The sequence below is a fragment of the Homo sapiens genome, chromosome 10 (genome assembly GCF_000001405.40).
Source record: "Homo sapiens chromosome 10, GRCh38.p14 Primary Assembly".
NCBI classification, from domain to species: domain Eukaryota; kingdom Metazoa; phylum Chordata; class Mammalia; order Primates; family Hominidae; genus Homo; species Homo sapiens.
The window spans coordinates 67,158,420-67,181,865 of NC_000010.11; the positions used below are offsets into that span (position 1 = coordinate 67,158,420).

The 23,446-nt window shown below is 35.4% G+C and overlaps 1 protein-coding gene across 9 annotated transcripts in view; it reads right to left on the reverse strand.

Moving 5' to 3' along the window:
* The window catches only part of CTNNA3 (catenin alpha 3), a 1,851,072-nt gene that overhangs the window by 1,245,897 nt on the left and 581,729 nt on the right, over positions 1-23,446 (reverse strand). For 7 of the 9 annotated variants that reach the window (XM_047425124.1, NM_013266.4, XM_017016152.2 and 4 more), the window contains one exon: positions 21,898-22,101. In XM_047425124.1, coding sequence (XP_047281080.1) covers positions 21,898-22,101 — 204 coding nt within the window. Of the gene's footprint in view, positions 1-17,070; positions 18,566-21,897; positions 22,102-23,446 lie in introns of those variants that run through there. The other 2 variants (XM_017016158.3, NM_001291133.2) reach the window with 1 other exon arrangement.

Below are 23,446 nucleotides of genomic sequence, written 5' to 3' on the forward strand. Positions count from 1 at the left end.
CTGGCCTGGCAAAAAACTCAGATAAGAAATGCTATCTATCAAAATAGATGGGCTCTCGACTACTTGCTAGCAGCTGAAAGAGAGGTCTATAAGAAATTTAACCTTACTAATTACTGTCTACACATAGATAATCAAAGGCAAGTAGTTAAAGACATAGTTAAAAATATGACAAAACTGACACATGTGCCCGCATAAGTGTAGCACGAATTGGACCCTGAAGCCATGTTTAAAAATCAGTTCCCAGCACTAGGAGAACTTAAAACTCTTATAATAAAAGTTATGATAGTAATAAGAACCTACTTACTGCTTCCTTGCTTGCTACCTGTACTTCTTCAAATGATAAAAAGCTTCATCGCTATCTTAGTTCACCAAAATGCTTCAGCACAAGTGTACTATATAAATCACTATCAATCTATTACAAAAAAAAAAAGTAACAAAAATAAAAGTGAGAACTCCTACTAATAAAAAAGTGAGAGCCTCAAAGGGGGGAAAGGAGGGAAGAGAGAGACCCTCTCATATTGTTTTATATTGTTTTATACTCAGTACCTGTTTTTAAAAAAAACAACAAGGAAGTAAAACCAAAGACAGGCAGCCCAGAGCCACGCCTGAAACCAGGCCTGGGCCTGCCTGGCCTAAACCCAGTAGTTAAAAATCAACTCATAACTTAAAAATCGATGTTATTCACAGATTCCAGACATTGTATAGAACAACACTGTGAAACTCCCTGCCCTGTTCTGTTTCTCTCTGACCGCCAGCGCATGCAGCCCCTGTCGTGTACCCCTTGCTTGCTCAAATCAATCACAACCCTTTCATGTGAAATCCTTAGAGTTGTGAGCCCTTAAAAGGGACAGGAATTGCTCACTCGGGGAGCTCGGATTTTAAGGCAGTAGCTTGCCGATGCTCCCAGCTGAATAAAGCCCTTCCTTCTATAACTCAGTGTCTGAGAGGTTTTGTCTGCGGCTCGTCCTGCTACAAAGGAATCATACTTCTGGATTTCAAAAAAGATTACAAAGCTACACTAATTAAGACAGTATGGTACTAACATAAAGACAGACATACAGACCAATGGAACAGAATAGAGAGCCCAGAAATGAAACCACATGTTATTTATCAATTAAAAATGAAATTAAAAATGTTTTAAAAATCTACATGTGTAAAGTCAACTAATCTTCAACAAGGGTGTCAAGAATACAGAATGGGGAAAAGGTAGTTCCTTCAACAAATGATGCTGGGAAAACTGAATATCCATATACAAAAGAATTAATTTGGACCTTTACCTTACAACATATACAAAAATCATCTGAAAATGGATTAAAGACTTAAACATAAGACCTGAAACTGTAAAATTCTTAGAAAAAAATAGGGGAAAAACTTCATGACATTGGATTGGCAATAATTTCTTGGGTATGACTCCAAAAGCATGAGCAACAAAAGCAAAAATAGAAAAGAAGGATTATATTAATCTAAAAATTTTCTACACATCAAAGGCAACAATTGAGAGAGAAGACACAACCTATAGAATGGAAGGAAACATTTGCAAATCATACATCTATCTGATAAGGAGTTAATATCTAAAACAGATCAGTAATTCAAGCAGCTCAATAGCAAGAAAACAAATAACCCAATAAAAAAAATGGCAAAGGACCCGAATAGACATTTCTCAAGAGAAAAAATACAGATACTCAGAGTATATGAAAAAATGTGCAACATCACTAGTCATCAGGAAAATGAAATCAAAACCAGGAGATATTACCTTACATCTGTTAGGAAAGCTATTATCAATAAACAAAAAAAGATCACAAATATTGAGGAGGATGTGAAGGAAAAGGAATGCTTGTACACTATTGATATAAATGTAAAATGATGTCACAGCTATGGAAAACAGCATGGCATTTCCTCAAAAAAATTAAAAATAAAAATACTATATGATCCAGCAATCCCGCATTTGGGTTTATACATGAAGAAAATAAAAAGTAGCTGGAAGAGATATATGCACTCTCATATTCATCACATCTTTTTTTTTTTTTTTTTTTTTTGAGACAGGGTCTTGCTCTGTCCCCCGGGCTGGAGTGCAGTGATGTAATCATGGCTCACTGCAGCCTCGACCACTTGGGCTCAAACAATCCTCCCACCTCAGCCTCCCTAGAGCTGGGACCACAGGGGTGTGCCACCACACCCAGTTAATTTTTATATTTTTTGTAGAAACGGGGTTTTGCCATGTTCCCCAGGATGGTCTTAAACCCTGGGCTCGAGAGGTCTCCCTGCCTCAGCCTCTCAAAGTGCTGGGATTACAGGTGTGAGCCACTGTGCTCGGCCTCACGGCATCATTATTTACAATATCCAAGATGTTTAAACAACCTAAATGTTCATCACCAGGTGAATGGATAAAAAATATGTGGTATATACATACAATGAAATATTATTCTGTATTGAAAAACAAGGAAATCTTGCACTGTGACAACATGAATGAATTCTTGAGAACATTATGCTAAGTGAAATAAGCTAGTCACAGAAGAACAAATACTGCATCATACCACTTATATGAGGCATATGAAATAGTCAAACACAGAGAAGCAGAGGGTAGAATGGTGGGTGCTAGGGGATTGGGGAGGGAGAAATGGAAAGTTGCCATTCAACAGGTATAAAGTTTAAGATATGCAAAACAATTTAGTTATAGAGATATGTTGTCCAACATTGTGCCTCTAGTTTTCATTTGATATATTGTTCACTTAAAAATTTGTTAAGATTGTAGTTCTCTTATTGAGTGCTTTTGTCACAATAAATAAATTAAAATAAATAAAAGTAGTAATCTCTGAAGATCAAGAGAGAAGAAATAACAAAAAAGTAAAAATATGAATAAAAATACACTTCTTTCTTCAGTTTTCTAAATTATGTTTGATAGTTGAAGCAAAAATTAAAACAGTCTTACGTGTTTCTCAATATACATAAAACAAATATTTAATATATTTATATAATAAATGAGTGAGATAAAATTACATAAAGGGTTCTACATTTTCCTCAAACTGGTAAAATGTCAACTTTATTAAATTATGATAATTATGTGTATATAATGCCATACCTCGATAAACTACTAAAATAGCTATATAAAGATATATACTCAAAAATACTATAGACACATCAAAAAAGAATCTAAAGTGTATTCAAGTAACTGACAAAAAGTCATGAAAAATAAATTAAAAACAGAGGGAACAAACAGAAAACAAATTAGATGGATAGGTAGATAGATTAGACATAATCCTTACCACATCAATAATTACTTAATATACATGGTCTAAATACACCAATTAAAAGACAGAGGTTAGCAGAACAGATTAAAGACCTAACTCAACTACATGCTATCCTTAAGAAACTTACTTCACACATCATGATACAGGTATATTAAAAGTAAAAGGGTGGAAAAAGATAAACCATGCAAACATTAATCAAAAGAAAGTAGCTTTATTAATATCCAGTAAAGAAGACTGCAAAGACAGAAAATTACTCAGGAGAGAGGGAGACATTACATAATATTAAGAGTCAATCCTTCAAGAAGACATAGCTAGCCTAAATGCGCATGTACTTAACAACAGAGCTATAAATATAGATGAAGCAAAAACTGACAAAGCTGAACGGAAGAGTGGACAAATTCACAGTTATAGCTGTAGACTTCAACATCCTTCTCTCAACAATTATAAGAACAACTAGACAGAAAATCAGCTAGGATATAGAAAAATTCAACAATACCATCAACCAACAGATTCTAGTCAACATTTTATAGAACACCTTACCTAACAACATTATTTTTAAGTTTTTCAAGTTTTCAAATTTGTTTTAAATTTTTCAACAAATTCTCAAGACCACGAGTGGGACAAGGAAATATCCTACAGGCAGCAAAGGACAATAAGGGTAAATACATATTATTTTTAAGTGCCCATTAAACTATATTAAGATAGACCATATCCTGGGCCATAAAATAGCCTCAATATATGTAAAAAAAAATTAGTCACAAAGAGTGTGTTCTCTGCGCACAATCAAATCAAAATAGAAAATTGATTATTGAAAGACAACAGGAAAATCTGCAAAAGAGAAAACATTCCAGCTCTCACTGGGCTTGAGTTTTTAAAAAAAGAGGCAGAGAAACAGAAAATATCTCACATCAGTAATCTAATCATCTATCTCAAAAATCTAGAAAGAAAGCATGAAATACACCCAAAGTAAGCAGAAAGAAGAAAATAATAAAGAACACAAATAAAATTGAAAATGAAAATCGAGAAATTCAATGAAATAAAAAAGCTTCTCTTTGAAACTATCAAGATAAAATGTTAAAATTCTAGAAAAATTAACAAAAATAAAAGAGAAGATACAAATTTTTAAGACCAGGAATGAAACAAGGAAATATCCTACAGGCATCAAAGCACAATAAGGGATTATACAAACAACTTTAACATGTAAGTTTGACAAGTTAGATGAAATAAACCAATTCCTTCAAAAGCAAAAGCTATCACAACTAACTCAATATGCAACAGATAATTTAAATAGCTCTATAATTATTAAGGAAGTGGAATTCATAATATAAAAACTCCTGGAAAAGAAATCTCCATCCCCAGATGGTTTTCTTGGAGAACACTGCCAAATATTTAAACATATGTAACACCTGTTCTACCCAACCTTTCTAGAAGATAAAAAAAGAGGGAGTACTTTCCAATCAATTTTATTACTACCATGATACCAAAAACAAAGATATTATAAGAAAACTGCAAATTAATACTCTTCATTAATAGAGATGAAAATATTTCTAATAAAATATTAACAAATAGAATTCATCCATATGTAAAATGAATTGTATACCATGACCAAGTAAGATTTATTCCAGGGTTGCAAGGCTAGTTTGATATTTGAAAATCAATGTAATCTACCATATTAACAAACTAAACAAGAAAAATCATATGATTATGTAAATTGATGCAGAAAAGGCATTTATCTGACAAAATTCAACACCCATTTATCACACAAACTCTCCAAAATCTAGAAACAGAGAAGAACTTCTATATCTTGATTTTTAAAAATCTATCAAAAAGAGATCTAAAGCTAACATTGTATTTAATGGCAAAAGACTGAAGGCTTTCCCCCTAAAATAGGCAACAAAGCAAGGATATCAGCTCTCACCACACTTACGCACCATATTTCTGGAAGTTCTAATCGGTGCAGTAAGGTATGAAAATTAAGTAAAAGACATACAGATTTAAAAGGAAGAAATAAAACTATTCCTACTATCTATACATGACATAATTTTCTATGTAGAAAATCCCAAGGAATCCACCAAAACGACAATAATAACAATTCCTGAACTACTAAGTGATTTCAGGAGGGTTGCAGGATATAAGATAAACATACAAAAATCGATTTTACTTGTATATACTAATAACAGGTGAAAATTAAAATTAAAAATATAATAACATTTATAATACCTGAAAAATGAAACAATTAGGTATAAGTCTAATAAAACGTGTACGACTTCTATACTGAAAACTGCAAAATGCTGATGAAAGAAATCAAAGATCTAATTGAATGGAGAGACATCCTGTGTTCATGAACTGGAAGACAACACAGTAAATATGTCAATTCTCCTAAATTGATATACAAGTTTTTATAATTCTTATAAAACCTAAGAAAAAAATTTTAGACATTAAAAATTATTGTAAAATATACATGGAATGACAAAGTAGCTAGGATAGCTAAAAACAACTTTGAAATAGGAAATTAATAGGAATAACTCTAAGTGATTTCAAGACTTATTATATAGCTACAGTAGTCAATGCTTTGTGATATTGGCCAAGGAATAAACAAACAGCCCAATAAAATAGAATCATGAAACTAGAAATAGCCATACACAAGTACAGCAAATTGATTTTTCACAAATATGCAGAAGTAATCCAATGGAGGAACAAATAGTGCTAGAGCAACTGGATATCAATAGGCAAAAAGTAGGAACTTTGAGAAAAGTCTCACACTTCATAAAAAGTTAACTCAGAATGGATCATAAATACAAAATCAAATGTAAAATATAAAACGTTTAGGAAAATAGCAGAAAAGAAATTTTGGACCTAGAACTCGTTGAACCATTCTTAGACACAAAAAGCATGACACATAAAAGAAAAAATAGATAAAGCTTACTTCATTAGCTACAAACTGCAAGAAAATATTTACAAAACTAATATCTGAAAAGGTCTCATATATAGAATGTATAAACAACTCTTAATAATTAACAGTAAACTACTATACAAAAAATCCTATTAGAAAATAGGCAAAAAACATGATGAGTCATTTCACTGAAGAGTATGTACAGACAGCAAATAAACACATGAAAAGATGTTTGACATCACTGGCTATTAGAATGAAGATCATAATATCACTACACACTGATTAGAACATCTAAAATAAAAAATAGTGAAAATATCAAATGTTGGTCAGAGTGTTGAATAACTAGATACATTGCTGGTGGGAATGTAAAATTGCTCTGGAAAATAGTTTGGCAGTTTCCTAAAAACTATGCATCACATACCATAACCTAGCAATCACACTTGTGGGTGTTTCTCTTAGAGAAATTAAAATTTATGACTACACAAAAATCTGTACCCAATTGTTCATAGAAGCATTATTTGTAATAGCCCCAAACTGGAAAAAACAGAATGTCCTACCATAGTCAAATGTATAAACAATGGTATATCCTACCATGGAATACTAATTAGCAATAAAAAAGAATAAACTATCAATATATCCAACTTGGATGGATCTCTAAGGCATTATGCTGAGTTTTTAAAAAGCCAATCTCAAAAGGTCCTACACTGTGTAATTCCATTTATAAAACACTGTATAATAACAAAATTATAGAAATGGAGAATAGATTTGCATTTGCCGAGGGTTAGGCACGGGGCAGGGGCAGGTGGTAGGGGTAGGGAGGGGCAGGTGTGATTGGAAAGTGGTAGCACAAGGGAGATATTTGTAGTGATGGAATATTTCTGTATCGTTTTTGTGTTGGTGATTACACAAACCCATATATGTGATAAAACTATATACATAATTTATGTCAATATGTCAATGTCCTTGTTTTGATATCTTGCTATATAGTTACACATGATGCAACCTATATAGGAAACTGGGCAAAGGGTACAAAGAACCTCTCTGTGCTGTCTTTGCTACTTCCTTTGAATCTATAATTATTTCAAAATTAAAAGTTTTTTTAAAAATTTAGTTTCTAGTCTTTGAGAGGTATTCCTGGGACGAAAATGAGAGAAGATGGATAGGCTTTCCCATATAGCATAAACAGCTGAACTAAAATTAAAAGCAGTTATCAAGTAGATTCAGTCAGTTTTATTTTTACAAGTGTTAGGTTTAATATAAAAGTCAGAAACTAAATAAAATGAACAGTCAATACTTCTAAAGGAGTTGTCAAATTAGAAAGAGCTTGTTTCTACAAAAGACAACATAATTATCACAAATAGTGATTATCATATCTCTGCTATGCACCAAACAAAAATTATTTTTCTCTTCCCAGTTGTAAGCCAACTGCCATACTAACCGTCTTGCCAACTTTGTATTTTCTTTGCATATTCCTTTTCTCCTGAGCCCCCAGTACTGCACTTAAAATTGCCAAGGAGGAAGGGAGACTTAGAAACTGCAAGAGGCTAAATAAACATTTGCCTGTGACTATTCCACAGCATAAATTATATAATCACTAGGTATTCAATGATTCTAATTTAATACTGCTAAAGAGGGCAGGTGATCATAACGCACATTTTAGAAATATCAATTGTGGGTCACCTGAAAAAGTTTCAGTCATTCTTAAATGCAATTACCAATATCATTATAACATAAATGCACTCAGACAAAACTAAACTCATTAAAATGGAATTCTGCAAGAGTGTAACTTACCTAGCTTTCTTGGTTTTTTTTCACACTGGACACTAGAATCTTTACCCTTATAATTAGATAAGGTTCACCCACTTCAGATCTCTGTTATAAGTGTTTAATTTATATACACTGGTTTAATTTTTAACCCGAGACTTAAAGAACATGAAAGATTTGCAGGGATTAACTAAATCTATTCTTTGTAATAGAATCCATTAATAATTTTCTCTACATCTTTCTACCTACTAACATCAGTTTTGGATTCTTTCTAATAAAGCTGTAACTAACAACTCTTGACCATTATGGCTAAGGAGACAGTCTAACTCATCCTAGAATACCCTCTAGGCTATTCCCTACATTTGTTGTTAGGGTAATTCAGATCCTTTATGTTCTTCTCAAAGTAAAGTCTTTGCCTAAAAAATTGTATAGTATTATGATTATCTATTATTGTGTAAGAAGCCATTGCAAAACCTAATGTTTAAAAAGCAACAACTTCTGGCCGGGCGCGGTGGCTCATGCCTGTAATCCCAGAACTCTGGGAGGCCGAGGCAGGTGGATCATTTGAGGTCAGGAGTTCAAGACCAGCCTGGCCAACATGGCAAAACCCTGTCTCTACTAAAAATACAAAAATTAGCCGGGTGTGGTGGCACATGCCTGTAGTCCCAGCTACTCAGGAGGCTGAGGAAGGAGAATCACTTGAACCCAGGAGGCAGAGGTTGCAGTGAGCCAAGATCGTGCCATGGCACTCCAGCCTGGGTGACAGAACGAGACTCCATCTCAAAAAAAAGAAAAAAAAAAAGGCAACAATTTTTTATTCTTTCTTATGGTTCTGAGGTTTGGCTGGGCTCAGCTGAGATTTGACACATCAGGTCTCTGAGCAGCTGCAGTCAAAGTTTGGCTGCAGTGGGAACCATATAAAATTTTGAATAGGCTAGACATACAAGATACCATATTTACAGTGCTGGCAGTTAATGCGGGCTTTTGGCTAGGAATGCAGCTCTATCAACCAGAGTGCCTACCTAATTGTTATCTCTCTGTGTAGGCTGGGCTTCATACAGCCTAGAAATTGCATTCTGAGGGGAAATGTCTCAAAGTTGAGCACTCCAAAACAATCAGGTGAAAGCTAAAAGCCTTTTTATAATCTAGCCTCAGAAGTCCTAGAATGTTACTTCTGCCATATTTAGTTGGTCAACCAAGTTATTAAGTCCAGCCAAGATTCAAGAAGAAAAGTATTAAACTCTATCTTTTTGATGGAGGAAAAGCAAAGTCATGCCAGAGGAGAATTTGCAAAATGTGAAATATTGTTGTAGCTATCATTAGAGAATACAATCTATGACATATAGAAAATTTCATTCCTTTCCAATATACAAGTATAAAATGCCACTTGCTTATTTTACTGGATAACCCTAGGAATGACAGCATGGTGAGGTAGCTCTAGATATCCCTGACCTAAGTATTCTCTCTCCTTTCTTTTATTACCCCAACAGTAGCATTTTTAAAGTTATAAAAATATAGAGGTTATCGGCCGAGTATAGTGGCTCACGCCTATAATCCCAACAGTTTGGAAGGCCAAGGCAGGTAAATCACCTGAGGTCAGGAGTTCCAGACCACCCTGGCCAACATGGTGAAACCCCATCTCTACTTAAAAAATACAAAAAAATTAGCTGGGCATTCTGGCTCACACCTGCAATCCCAGCTACTCAGGAGGTTGAGGCAGGAGAATTGCTTGAACTGGGGGCCAGGGATTGCAGTGAGCCGAGATGGCGTCACTGCACTTCAGCCTAGGCAACAGAGTGAGACTCCATCTCAAAATAAAAAAAGGTTATCCAACATTAAAAACATCATGATGTAGCCAAATTCTATTAATACCAGATGTACAAAGAAGAGCTGGTACCATTCCTACAGAGACTATTCCTTAAAATTCAGGAGGAGGAACTTTTCCCCAACTCATTCTACAAGGCCAGCATCATCTGGATACCAAAACCTAGCAGAGACACAACAAAAAAAGAAAACTTCAGAGCTATATCCTTGATGAATATCAAGACAAAAGCCCTCAACAAAATACTGGCAAACCGAATCCAGCAGCACATCAAAAAGATAATCCACCATGATCAAGTAGACTTCATCCCCAGAATGCAAGGTTGGTTCAACATACACAAAGCAATAAATATCACTCATCACATAAAAAGAACAAAAGACAAAAACCACTATTATCTCAATAGCCACAGAAAAGGCTTTTGATAAAATTCAACACCCGTTCATGTTAAAAACTTCTAATAAGCTAAGTATTGAAGGAACATACATCAAAATAATAAGAGCCATCTATGACAAACCTACAGCCAACATTATACTGAAAGGGCAAAAGCTGCAAGCATTCCCCCTTGAAAACTGGCACAAGATAAGAATGCTCTCTTGCCACTTCTATTCAACATCATATTAGAAGTCTAAGCCAAAGCAATCACGCAAGAGAAAGAAATAAAGGGCATCCAAATAGGAAGAGAGGAAGTCAAACTATCTCTGTTAGCAGATGACATGATTCTATATGTAGAAAACCCCATACCCATAGTCTTAGCTCAAAAGCTCCTTCAGCTAATAAACAACTTTAACAAAATTTTAGTAAACAAAATTGACTTACAAAAATCACTAGTATTCCTACACACCAATAACAGCCAAACTGAGAGAAAAATCATAAAGGCAATCTGATTCACAATTGCCACAAAAAGACTAAAATGCTTATGAACACAGCTTACCAGAAAGGAGAAAGATCTCTATAACAAGAATTACAAAATGCTGCTCAAAGAAATCAGTGAAGACGCAAACAAATGGAAAAACATCCAATGCTCATAGATAGGAAGAATCAGTATCATTAAAATGGCCATACTGCCCAAAGCAATTTACAGATTCATTGCTATCCTATCAAACTACCAATGACATTCTTTACAGAACTAGAGAAAATGATTTTAAAATTCATTTGGAACCAAAATGAGCCTGAATAGCCAAGGCAATCCTAAGCAAAAAAAAACAAAGCTGGAAGCATCACGTTACCCAACTTCAAACTATACTACAGAACACAGTTACCAAAACAGCATGGTACAAAAAAAGACACGTAGACCAGTGGAACAGAAGAGAGGCCCAGAAATAAGGCCACACATCTGCGACCATCTGATCTTTTGACAAAGCTGACAAAAAATAACAATTGGGAAAAGACTCCCTATTCAATAAATGATGCTGGGATAACTGGCCAGCCATGCACAGACGATTGACTCTGGACCCCTTCCTTACACCATATACAAAAATCAAGTCAAGATGAATTAAAGACTTAAATGTAAAAACCAAAACTATAAAAACACTGGAAGAAAACCTAGGAAATACCATCCTGGACATAGGAATGGGCAAAGATGTCAGGACAAAGACACCAAAAGCAATCACAACAAAAGCAAAATTTGATTAAACCTAAGAGCTTCCACACAGCAAAGGAAACTATCAACACAGTAAACAGACAACCTACAGATGGGAGAAAATATTTGCAAACTATGCATCTGACAAAGGTCTGATATAAGAAACTTATAAGCATCTATAAGAGACTTAAACAAATTGACAAAAGAAAAACAACCCCATTAAAAAGCAGGTAAAGGATATGAACACACTTTTCAAAAGAAGACATAGATGTGGCCAACTAGCACATAAAGAAAAGCTCAATAACACTGATCATTAGAGAAACGCAAATCAAAACCACAGTGAGATACCATCTCACACCAGTCAAAATGGCTATTACTAAAAAGTCAAAAAATAACAGATGCTGGCAAGGTTGCAGAGAAAAGGAAGCACTTATATACTGTTGGTAGGAGTGTAAGTTAATTCAGCCATTGTGGAAAGCAGTATGGTAATTCCTCAAAGAACTAAAAGCAGAACTGCCATTCGACCCAGTAATCCCATTACTGGGTACATACCCAAAGGAATATAAATCATTCTATCATAAAGACACATGTACACGAATGTTCATTGCAGCATGATTCACAGCAAAAACATGGAATCAACCTAAATGTCCATCAATGACAGATTTGATGAAGAAAACAAGGCACATATTCACCATGGAATATTATGCAGCTATAAAAAATAATGAGATCGTGTCTTTTGTGGGAACGTGGATGGAGCTGGAGGCTATTATCCTTAGTATACTAACACAGAAACAGAAAACCAAATACCACATATTCTCACTTATAAGTGGGAGCTAAATGACAAGAACTTATAAACACAAAGAAGAAAACAGTAAACACTGGACTCTTCTTGAGGGTGGAGGGTGGGAAAAGGGAGAGGAGCAGAAAAGATAACTACTGGGTACCAGGCTTAATACTTGGGTGATTAAATAATCTGTACAACAAACTCCCATGCCACAAGTTTACCTATGTAATAAACCTTCACATGTACCCCTGTATCTAAAAAAAGGTTAAAAAAACCACAAACACTATGATGGAGAAGGCAATTCTGCATAGTGCTATGCTGTCTACCATGGCAGCCACTGGCCACATGTCGCTATTGAACACGAAATATGGTTAGTCCAGCTACACTATAAATGTAAAATACACATCAAATTTCAAGGACTTATAACTAAAACAGAATGTAAGATATCTCATTATGATGTTTATATTGATTGCATATTGAAATGATGATATTTTGCATACACTGACTTAACTAAAATTAATTTCACCTGTTCCTTTTACTGTATGTAGCTACTAGAAAATTTAAAATTATCTATTTGGCTCACATATTATTGTAGTTTGCATAATATTTCCATAAGATAGTGCTGGCTAATAAAATAAACTGAATCATATTTTCCAGTATATAGTACCACAAAAGGTCATGGTTTTTGTACCATTAAATGGTTTTCAGGCATTTTAATTGCTTCTTGCTAAATCTTATGTGAGACATATAAGCATATTCAAAGTAAATATTTTGGTACTTCTAGGCCAGGCGCAGTGGCTCACGCCCATAATCCCAGCACTTTGGGAGGCTGAGACAGGCGGTTCACCTGAGGTTGGGAGTTCGAGACCAGCCTGACCAACATGGAGAAACCCCGTTTCTACTAAAAATATAAAATCAGACGGGTGTGGTGGCATATGCCTGTAATCCCAGCTACTCAGGAGGCTGAGGCAGGAGAATTGCTTGAACCTGGGAGTCAGAGGTTGCAGTGAGCCGAGATCACACCATTGCACTCCAGCCTGGGCAACAACAGTGAAACTCTGTCTCAAAAAAAAAAAAAGAAAAACAAAATATATTGACCAGGCCTGGTAGTGCACACCCGTAGTCCCAGCTATTCAGGAGGCTGTAGTGGGAGGATGACTTGAGCCTGGAAGGTCAAAGCTGCAGTGAGCTGTGATCACATCACTACCCTCTAGCAGCCTGGGTAAGAGAGCAAGACCCTGCCAAAAAATAAAAATAAAAACAAAATAAAAAGATAAATTAATATATTTCAATGGAAATTGATTTATGAATATAAGACAGCCAAGATGATATGAGGGACTCATAACTGATTAACATTGAAGAAAAATAGGCAAAAATTAAAATTCAGCTTGTTTTAGAAGGAAAAAAATATTGGGAGTTTATCAAATATTTAAAAGAAACACATTTGCAAACTAATGGCCAGTACTTAGTCTCATATCCTTCCTTTCTTTCTTCCCTCTACTTTTCCTCCAAACTGAACTTCATATATTTCCTACAACAAACAACCTATGTGATTCCTGCTCTGTGCCTTTGCACAGGCTCTTACCCCTTTCTGGAATTCCCAACTCCCTCAACTGTCTAATGAGTACCTACTTCTCCTTCAAAAGCCAGCTTAAGAGCTTTCTCTCCTCTGAAGCCTGATCCACCCCAGGGGAGTTAACCACTTACTACTTGGTGCTCTTATAGTACTTAGCATTCATCAGTATTACAGTTTTTATCATGTTCCATTTCACGTACTTGTCTGTTTGATTCTCCTTGACAACTAAGACTGCAGTTGTTAGTACTTTGAAACCACCACTTCTTAGCACAGTGTTTATAGAAGAATTATGTAACTAGAAATGCAGTAACACCAATAGCATTTTAATTTAAATTTTACAGTTTAGCTATCTGTTATAGCCCATACAAAATCTGTCAGAAAAATGTGTTAAATCTCTCTCAAAATCCATCATATGTATTCTTGTGTTTATTATATATATACATATGTATAATACATACATATATATACACACACACACTATAGTCATATAGTCATATAGTTTCTAGGTGGCCATACCTCTCAGTTTGCTTGAGATGCCTTTTGTAGATCAATTAAGGTCTGTTGACCATTTTATGAATCTTTGTCTCTCAGAAGTAACGCAGTTTTGGCCGGGCACGGTGGCTTACGCCTGTAATCCCAGCACTTTGGGAGGCCGAGGCAGGCAGATCATCTGAGGTCAGGAGTTCAAGACCAGCTTGGCCAATGTGATGAAACCCTGTCTCTACTAAAAAATACAAAAATTAGCCAGCTATGGTGGTGTACACATGTAATCCCAGCTGCTCGAAAGGCTGAGGCAGGAGAACCACTTGAACCCAGGAGGCAGAGGTTGCAGCGAGCCAAGATTATGTTACTGCACTCCAGCCTAGGTGACAGAGCCAGACCCCATCTCAGGAAAAAAAAAAAAAAATGTATCCCGGTTTGGATAACAAATTACATGTTTCTCCTAATAATTTTCTAAACATTACCAATAGTAAATTAAATTCTCTGTGAAGCCAAATATTCTGACTATAGTTGCTAACACAGGATAATATTTCATTGTTCAAGGGCTATAAAAACAACCTTTTGATTTTTGCTATTAACTGTTGTAGTGAATAATGTGGTGCTTCACCCAGATTTCCTTTATAAGGGATTCCCTTTTCAGCTGGAAATACCAGCTGTGATGGCTCACATCTCTTTTCCTCACTGGGAACAGTCCTCAGTTGCAGGAACCTGCCTCATCCAAAGTTACAGAGCTCCTGGGATGATATGCCATCAATGATTGACAGTTGCAGGAATTCTAAGGGTCCATTCCCCCGTTTCAATATGAGACAATTCTGAAAGGCCATCCCAGCTCCAACACTCCCCATAGGACAGCTAAGATTTCCATTGTAAGTTGGCTTCTCTGCCAATCTGCCTTTCTTTATATGTTTCCTTATATGTTTATTTTCTGAAAGACTGTCCCAACAAAACTTTTTTGTACTCAAATTTACTTTCAAGTCTGTTCTAGTGTATATGATCTAAGACAACAATCACTCTTCATTCTACCATCAGCTCCCACCTAGGAACTCTACTAGGCTCAGGACCCTTATATTTCGTCCAAGTTAGAACTAATACTTCATGCCAGGATTCTTGATTCTTACTATATTCCTGTCATTTCTACCATTTGACCTAGTTTTATTTTATGTAACAAACAACTCTGAGTAAAGTTTAATGTTAAAAAACCATAGCAGGAACTTCTAACATATGAGGAATGCCTAAACACTAGGGAGTAAAGGAACCCACTTCTTGGGAAAGGATCAGTTGGAACAATCCACAAAGTGAATGACTGACCTGCCCCACAGGTATTAGAAATCATGGCTGCCTCTGCTGGAAGGCAAATGACAAAGGGCTCTCAGGCTTTAAGCTCTCTGGCCAAGAGGATGTAACCTTTAGGGACTTTCACCTCTGTATTGCTCTCTGCTTTTCACCTCTGTATTGATTGCTCTCTGCAAGACTTAAGTTTTGACACTTTGGAATATTCTCCATTACTTTATAGTTACTTTTATTTTACAAAAATTATTTCATTCTCCTCCTGTGCTCTGGCTCTATCTGATTAGTTTCCCTTTTATTAAAAAAGATAAAAATGGCTGCCTACTTTTTATTATTTCAGCTTTTCTTACTAGTTCCGCAATCACATAGCTTGCATTTCTGTAGGATTCTCACAATTAATTTTTATTATTAAGAGAGATTAGTACATTAGAGCACAAAGAAGAGATATATGAGAATAGTCTGTTTCCTCAATAGAGGAACCCAGATGCCTCCTTTTCCCCAATGAGCACTGCACAAGCTCCTCTTAAACCCCAAAGTGGATATTCTATGCCAGATCTACGTGACACCAAACTTAACTTGTCAAGAAGGATTTGGAATCATTATTTAACAGTCATCTATGGAATTAAGGAACATTTAGTAGAGGAATAAGACTAGGAACCCAGAGCAGCTCAGAAAAATAATAGCTGAAACAATAAAGTTATTTCCAAAACAATTCACATATGCAAATACCTGTGTAATACTTAGTCCTTAATTTAGGCACAGAAAAGAAATCAGAGAAAAAAAAAGCATTTTGCCAACTTAACCAGATCCCCACTATTTATTATTTCTCTCAACTCCCAGCTTGTTGAATCATCAGCTCCTATATTCCAGCTTCAATATCTAAATCCAGCCTCTTTCATTGGGATGATTCCTTTATATCTTCTTGGACTTTGACTTTATGCTCTAATCAATCTGACCTTGGTTGATATCTCTGTTTTTGGCATATCCACTCTTGCACAGACCTATATAGGATACTATTTATTTCTTTTAAGTTATCCAGATATCTGTAAACTGAAAAACATTATCTCTAACCAAATCAACCACTCAAAAATCAGTTACCACTACATAATAATGAAAACGGTTAAGAATATAAAAATGTAAAGCATCTAGTACAGTACACTTGAGGTGATAATGACAATTCTCATATGCAGTCCATGCCAAAAAAAAAAAAAAAGAAAGGAAGGGAGGGAGGAAGGGCAAGAAGGAAGGGATGGAGGGAAAGGGAGGGAGGGAGGGAGGGAGGGAGGGAAAGAAGGAAAAACATAGGCTGAAAACTGCCTTTACATTTTTAGAATTTTAATTCTAACCTGTCTCTTGTATTCAAAAAGCCATTGCATATTGTTCCTCCCAACTGTTTTACCATATCATCATAGGAAATAAAAATAAATTAATTAATTAAGGCTGGAATTATTTCCAAAATGCATTTTCAGGAGTGAGATGGAGGTCTATACAAAAGGAAAAATCCCATAACATCTCTTTTCGTGTAGGCTTTATATGAATTTTCAGAATTTCCCAAGACATGGAATGCATTAAACTCAAGACACACAATAAAACAGGTTTCTGAATAACAAAGCCAGTCCATTTGATTCTTTATTCACTCAGCAAATACGTAATGAGAACCAACAATGTGCTTCCACATAAAACACCAAGAGAAGAAACAAGTGGGTGGATGAGAGGTCCAGAAATGCAAATTAGTTCCTGCATGGAGCTCAGATCTGACTTGTTTACTCTAGCAGCATTATCTCTCACTCAGTTCTAATAATCCCCTATAGTCATGTATCACCTGAATATTAACTTTACTAATAATTATATGTCACCTATCTAACACATCCAACCCAACTACAACAATATGATTTCAACCCAGTCCCAGAAAAATATCCATGCTTGGTGTTATCTTAGAACTCAAACATGATGGCTGCCTACCTACAATTCTATTTTCACCAATTACAGAAAGATCACCATGTAAAAATAATTGATTTCCTGAAGATCATTCCTTTTTCACAGGGCCTCGTTGCTCTGCCCCATTTATAAAAAAATTCCTTAATTATGTTATACATCAGAGAAGATGAACTAGGTCTAACCAGTCATAGAGATATAACAAAATCAGCAGAAATATCTTAGAAATATATATATCCCTAAGTTTTAAAAGACAAAAGCTATATTTTTTCTGATCCTAAATGTTTCCTGGAGTGTATTTTTAATGAATAAAAATCCTGTTCTAGAATAGGGCTGGATGTGGATCCAAATGCAGAGATTAAGATAAAAAAGAATTTATTTCTGGATATTTACATTGATTTCCAGAAGAGATTTAATGCTTTGCAAAATAAGACCTTTTATAACAGGCAGTCCATTGTATAAATGTAGTAGATGCTTGAAACTCATTTCAGTTAATGTCAGAGAGGCTGTTTCTCCATTACATGGCATATACAACATGCAATCATTTCATTCACTCTTTCATCCAAAAATACAATTCAGCTTTTTCTAAATTCTATGCATTGTGCCTGAGGCTTGGGATAAAACTAAACAAAACAGACATGTGATCTGCCTGCACAGAGCTTAAAGTGTATGAGGGATGCTGTCTATAATGGATTCGAAATGAAAGGATTGATAATGATTCCACCAAAGAGACTAGGGAAGACTAGTATTGATATAATGTTGTGAGTCTCCCAGAGATGTCCACATTCAAATTCCCAGAACCTATGAATATGTTACCTGACATGGCAAGAGGGATTTTGCAGATGTAATTAAGGTTAAGGGCCTTCAGATGGGAGGATTATCCTGGATAATCTGGGTGGCTCCCACTAATCACATGAGTCCTAAAAAGAAGAGAATCTTTCCAAGGTGTGGTCAGAGAAAGAGATGTGAGGTTGGAAGCAGGGTCAGAGAAACATGACGTTGCTGGCTTAGAAGATGGAGGCAGAGGGCCATGAGCCAAGGAATGAGGGTGACCTCTAGAAACTGGAAAAGGCAAAAATAATGGACTCTTCCCTAGAGACTCCAGAAAATAATGCATTCCTCCAACAATTTGATTTTTACTCCAGTGAGGCCCAGGTCAGACTTTTGATTACAGAGCTGAAAGACAGAAATTTGTGTGGTTTAAGACACTAAGTGTGTGGTAATTTGTTACAGCAGCAATAGAAAACTAACCAAACATATATACATATGTATCCACTCATATAAATTTAACAGGACAGTATATATTAGGGCAAACATACATAATCAATAGTGTTAAGTGGTTGTCTGTTTTGTCCGTTATAGACCCATCTCATCTCATTTCTTGCTAATTTCTTCTTAATGTGACAAGACATTGAACTTATTGAACGTTGAGATTCCATTTTAAAAAATGATCAAGACTTGCTGATCTGTTTAAGGAACTGAATTTATTTAGACTCAGAGGAGTCATATGGTTGTGTGGACTGAGCCTGAGACAAACATAAGCTGCATTCATTTCTCATTGCGGAACTGCTCTGGCTGGACGCAACAGATTTGCAAAATTTAAGCCAATCTCTGAAGTCCCCTTCACCTAAAAGACTCACAGGTTTTGATGAATTAATCACTTTCAGTTTTCATGCTTATCATCAAGCATTTGCTCCATCAGCACAGCTCAATTACAAAAGCTACTGACTGATCTGAAAAACAACTGGGTCCACCAAAGGAGACACAGTATTCCTTAAAATAGAAAGATGAGGACTTAAGTATTAGAGCCATCCCAAGTCTTTGAGCAAACGGTGAGCAAGGTTTGAGTTCAGCTAGTTCCAGAAAAATGCATTCCCTTTCATTAAAACTGATGCAACAGCTATAAAGAAGCATTATTTGTGATAGAAACCTGGAGTGACAGTAAACCTGGGGATGAGATACAATAATACACTCCACAGTTTTCCAGGTTGGTTCCTGCTACTTAATTACACTTAATTACAATATTCATTAGTTCAGTCCAATTTGCTCAGTTTAAGAAAACCATAAAATCACCATTATTTTGATGTGATATGTGTTTATTATACACAGGGGCAGCTTCAGGGACCTGCTACTGCACATAGGATCCCAATTTTAGACAGGGGTCCCAGGCTTGGGTTTTCATGCTCTGCTACCACAGTCTTGAATTTTTTAACAATTTTACCTGTGAATCTGTGTAGTCCAATGCAGCAATGAAGCACATGTCTTGGCTCATATGCAGTCCTGCCTCCGAGTGACTTCCTGGGATAGGTCCTCAGCCACCTGTTCTCCCACCCAGTGATTACTGCCACCCTTTATTCCTTGTGGGGGCCTTGGCACACCCTGGGGTGGGTCAGGGTCATTTGGTGGGGCCACAGATGCCTGTGAGGGTCTGCAGTCACTTTATAAGTACCTCTATACTCTAGAAATCTAACATTAAATAGCAAATAAAAATAACCTTTCATAGGTCATAGTCTCTCGTGACCTATATGTCACGAGACATATAGTCACTTTATAAGTACCTCTTTATATAGTCACTTTATAAGTACCTCTTTATATAGTCACTTTATAAGTACCTCTATACTCTAGAAATCTAACATTAAATAGCAAACAAAAATAACCTTTCATAGGTCACGAGAGACTGTGTAAGAAAGCTACAGTTCCTTTCTCCTGCTTTTTGAACAAGAAGCCTCACATTTTCATTTTGTATTAGGCCCCACAAATTACGTGGCCAACCTTACCTATGTATGTGGGTAAGTGTGCACATGTATATATATCTGAATTTGTACCTATAAAGAATAAAATAACTTTCTATTTTAGATAAATTGAACTTACAATTTTATAATTTCTAGGAAAAATAAATGTATATATAACTTTACTATATTTTATCTGTAAAGAGGAAAATAATAATTGTAACAGTTTGCATATCATGAAAGAAGGCATTTCAATAAAATATTATCTTCTAAGTTTTTTATGACTGATGAATTACCTTGAAAAATCTTTAAGAATATATTATATGCTAAAAATGGGGATATTCTAGCTTCAGGCATTCTAGGACATGTCATGTCTAGGACATGACAATACTAAAATTTTCTTATTAAAGAAATCTACCTTACAACTTTGATTTATCGACAGGTGAGAGATTTCTGGTCAGGAACCAAAGTCATCAAATATTAAGAGTATGAAGATACATCAAATGTGTTGAAGGGTCTTCAAAATGCACCAAATAATTTTAGTGCATTTCAATTATTCACATAATTGAACAATCTCAAATATCTTAAATTCATACCTGAAAAGTCATACCCTTTGTAACTAATCATTCTCAAAACACACCTACATGAATCTTGAATTCTTCTATTTATAATAATGCAGATGAACAAAATATTGCTATTATAACTTTCATTTTGTTTAGCTCTATTATTTAAGGAATCTTCATAATCAATATATAATTGAAAATATATTCAAGATTTTTCTCTTCACTTTATAAATATTACCAAGATTTGAGGGGAACAATAGTTACAGACATTCCATAGATGAAGAGATATGTATTTCATATATATGTATAAATACAGTGAAACAAAATGGACTTTGAAACAAATATTTTTGCCCTAAATTTAGACATTTACAATATTTCTGATAGCTAAAACTTCAAAAAAAAAAAAAAAAAAAACTAGACACTGTCACATTTGAAAAAGATTAAGAGCTGCCAAAACTACGTGGGTGCCTGTAATCCCAGCACTTTGGGAGGCCAAGGTGGGAGGGTCACTTGAGCCCAGTAGTTTGACACCAGTCTGGGCATTATGGCAAAACCCCATCTCTACAAAAACTACAAAAATTAGCTGGGCATGGTAACACACCTGTAGTCCAAGCTACTTGGGAGGCTGAGGTAGAAGGATCATATGAGCCCAGGAGTTCGAGGCTGCCATTAGCTGTGATTGCCCAACTGCACTTGAGCCTGGGCAACAGATCAAGACCCTGTCTATCTCCATAAAACAACAACAACAAAAAAACATAACAACCTGCATGGGCTCTTTACACGCCTTCAAACATAGCTCATGATCCCTGTAATATCACTGTTATTGGATACTAACTTCTAATGGCCTTTCATTATTCACTAACTTGATCCTGAGCAATCTGCCCCTCTCTTTATCTTCTTTATATTTCTTAAATTGATGTGCAACTCTAGTTTCCTTTCTCCAATCCTGATTCCCTTCTTCAACTAATAGTGAGATACTTCCACAAACAAAACAATCACCTGTAAATACCCTTCTGGTTCTGATCTCATCCCTAGAAATTCCCAGGGTTGTTGTTCCCTGTAAATAACCAAGCAGAACTCACTTAGAAAATCAACCTATGTAAAATCACATACTCATTTGTAATTTACCCTATTTTGTATACGGAAAGTATCTCAGCCTATATTCAAAGTACAAGGGAAGAGGGGCTAGGGATGGGAAGGCAAACCAGTCACCTACGTTGTTCATGTACTCTGAAAGCAGATCCTGAAGAGCCTGGCGAATGGCGTTGCATTCTGCGATAATCCGCTCTCGGTGTAAGTCCCTCGTACATGAAGAATCCGCCAGCAGAGCAGCCCCACTGATAATGGCTTCAAGGCGTTTCTCTAGTGATGGTCGTATTTCCTCCTCAGTTACTGTGAGTGGATTCAGGACAATTAAATTCTAAGAGAAGAACACATTTGTATGGTTAGAGCTCCATGGCATTTCACTTTTATGAAAAACAAATGTTATTTTGTTTTTGCATTTAGAATTCAGATGTGATAATAAAGAGAACTGTGTTTTACTGCCTCGGCTGGTTCACACATAATGCTATGTAGTGATTATTATTCTGATAAATAATGAAAGTGATGCAATTATGAGCTTTTGTTCTAGCCTCAGACAGACCTGGATTCAAATCTTACATTTCTCCCTCATGCAGGTGTCATACACTTGCTGAGCCTCAACCTCTTGATCTATAAAAGCAGAATATTAATGTTGCGTGTGTTGTAAAACTGTTGTAAGAATGATATAAATGCTTAATACACTGACTGGAGCATATTAACTGTTATTTACAATAGTAACTTTTATAGACTGCACTGTTTATACAATATTTTCATGTATCTCATCCTGACAGCACCATGAGGAAGTAGGCAGCAAAGTATTAATAACTACACATTTCAGCTGATGATGAGTGAGGCTGAAAGGCTGTCTTACCCAAGGTCATAGAGCAAATAAACAGTGACGTTCAGACAAGTATCCATGTCTTTCAATACCAGATTTAATATTATTTTCATTATGCCTCACTTTAAATCATAAACTTTAGTTAACTTTAACACTAACATATCAAAGTAAATTCTGAATTTTAATTATTTAATTTAAAACAAAACTGCTTCTTCCTGTTGATCTATTATAACTTCCAGCTATTTCCAGCTATTAGAACCTGACACGGTATTTTTAAGGTTTCCATTAGACATATCTTCAGGTAATAGAAGTCGAGATAATCTACAGCCTCTTAAGAAAAGATGGAAGGTATATGCTGCTCTAAGGGTCTTTTATTAAAATACTCCAAGAGAGGAAGTCTTTCCAAGATTAGGCATAATGTGAGAATTGAAGAAAGAGATAGTGTAGAATAAAAGCTCTCTGAAGAACCCTTAACATGAAATGCAATCACATAATGATCTTCAGAGTGTGAAATTCTGAGTGTGAATCTACACACAAACACACTGTGAAGATATTATAAGATCTTCCTAGTATATAATCTTATGTATAAGATTATAGATATGTATATGTATTTTATATAGGTAGAGGTGTTTAAGTATGTAAATAAGTATATGTGTGTGTGTTTATATATAAAATCTTATACTTATCATTGTGTTACATTACATTCTGATAAATATTTGGGGATTGAAAGTAGCCAGGATACAATTTTAAAAGCCACAACTGCAGAGTCAAGCTAGGAAGAAAAAATTATTATAGAAAAAGATATAGTTTTAAAACATTTTTTTTAAAAAAACAGCACTGTGTAATG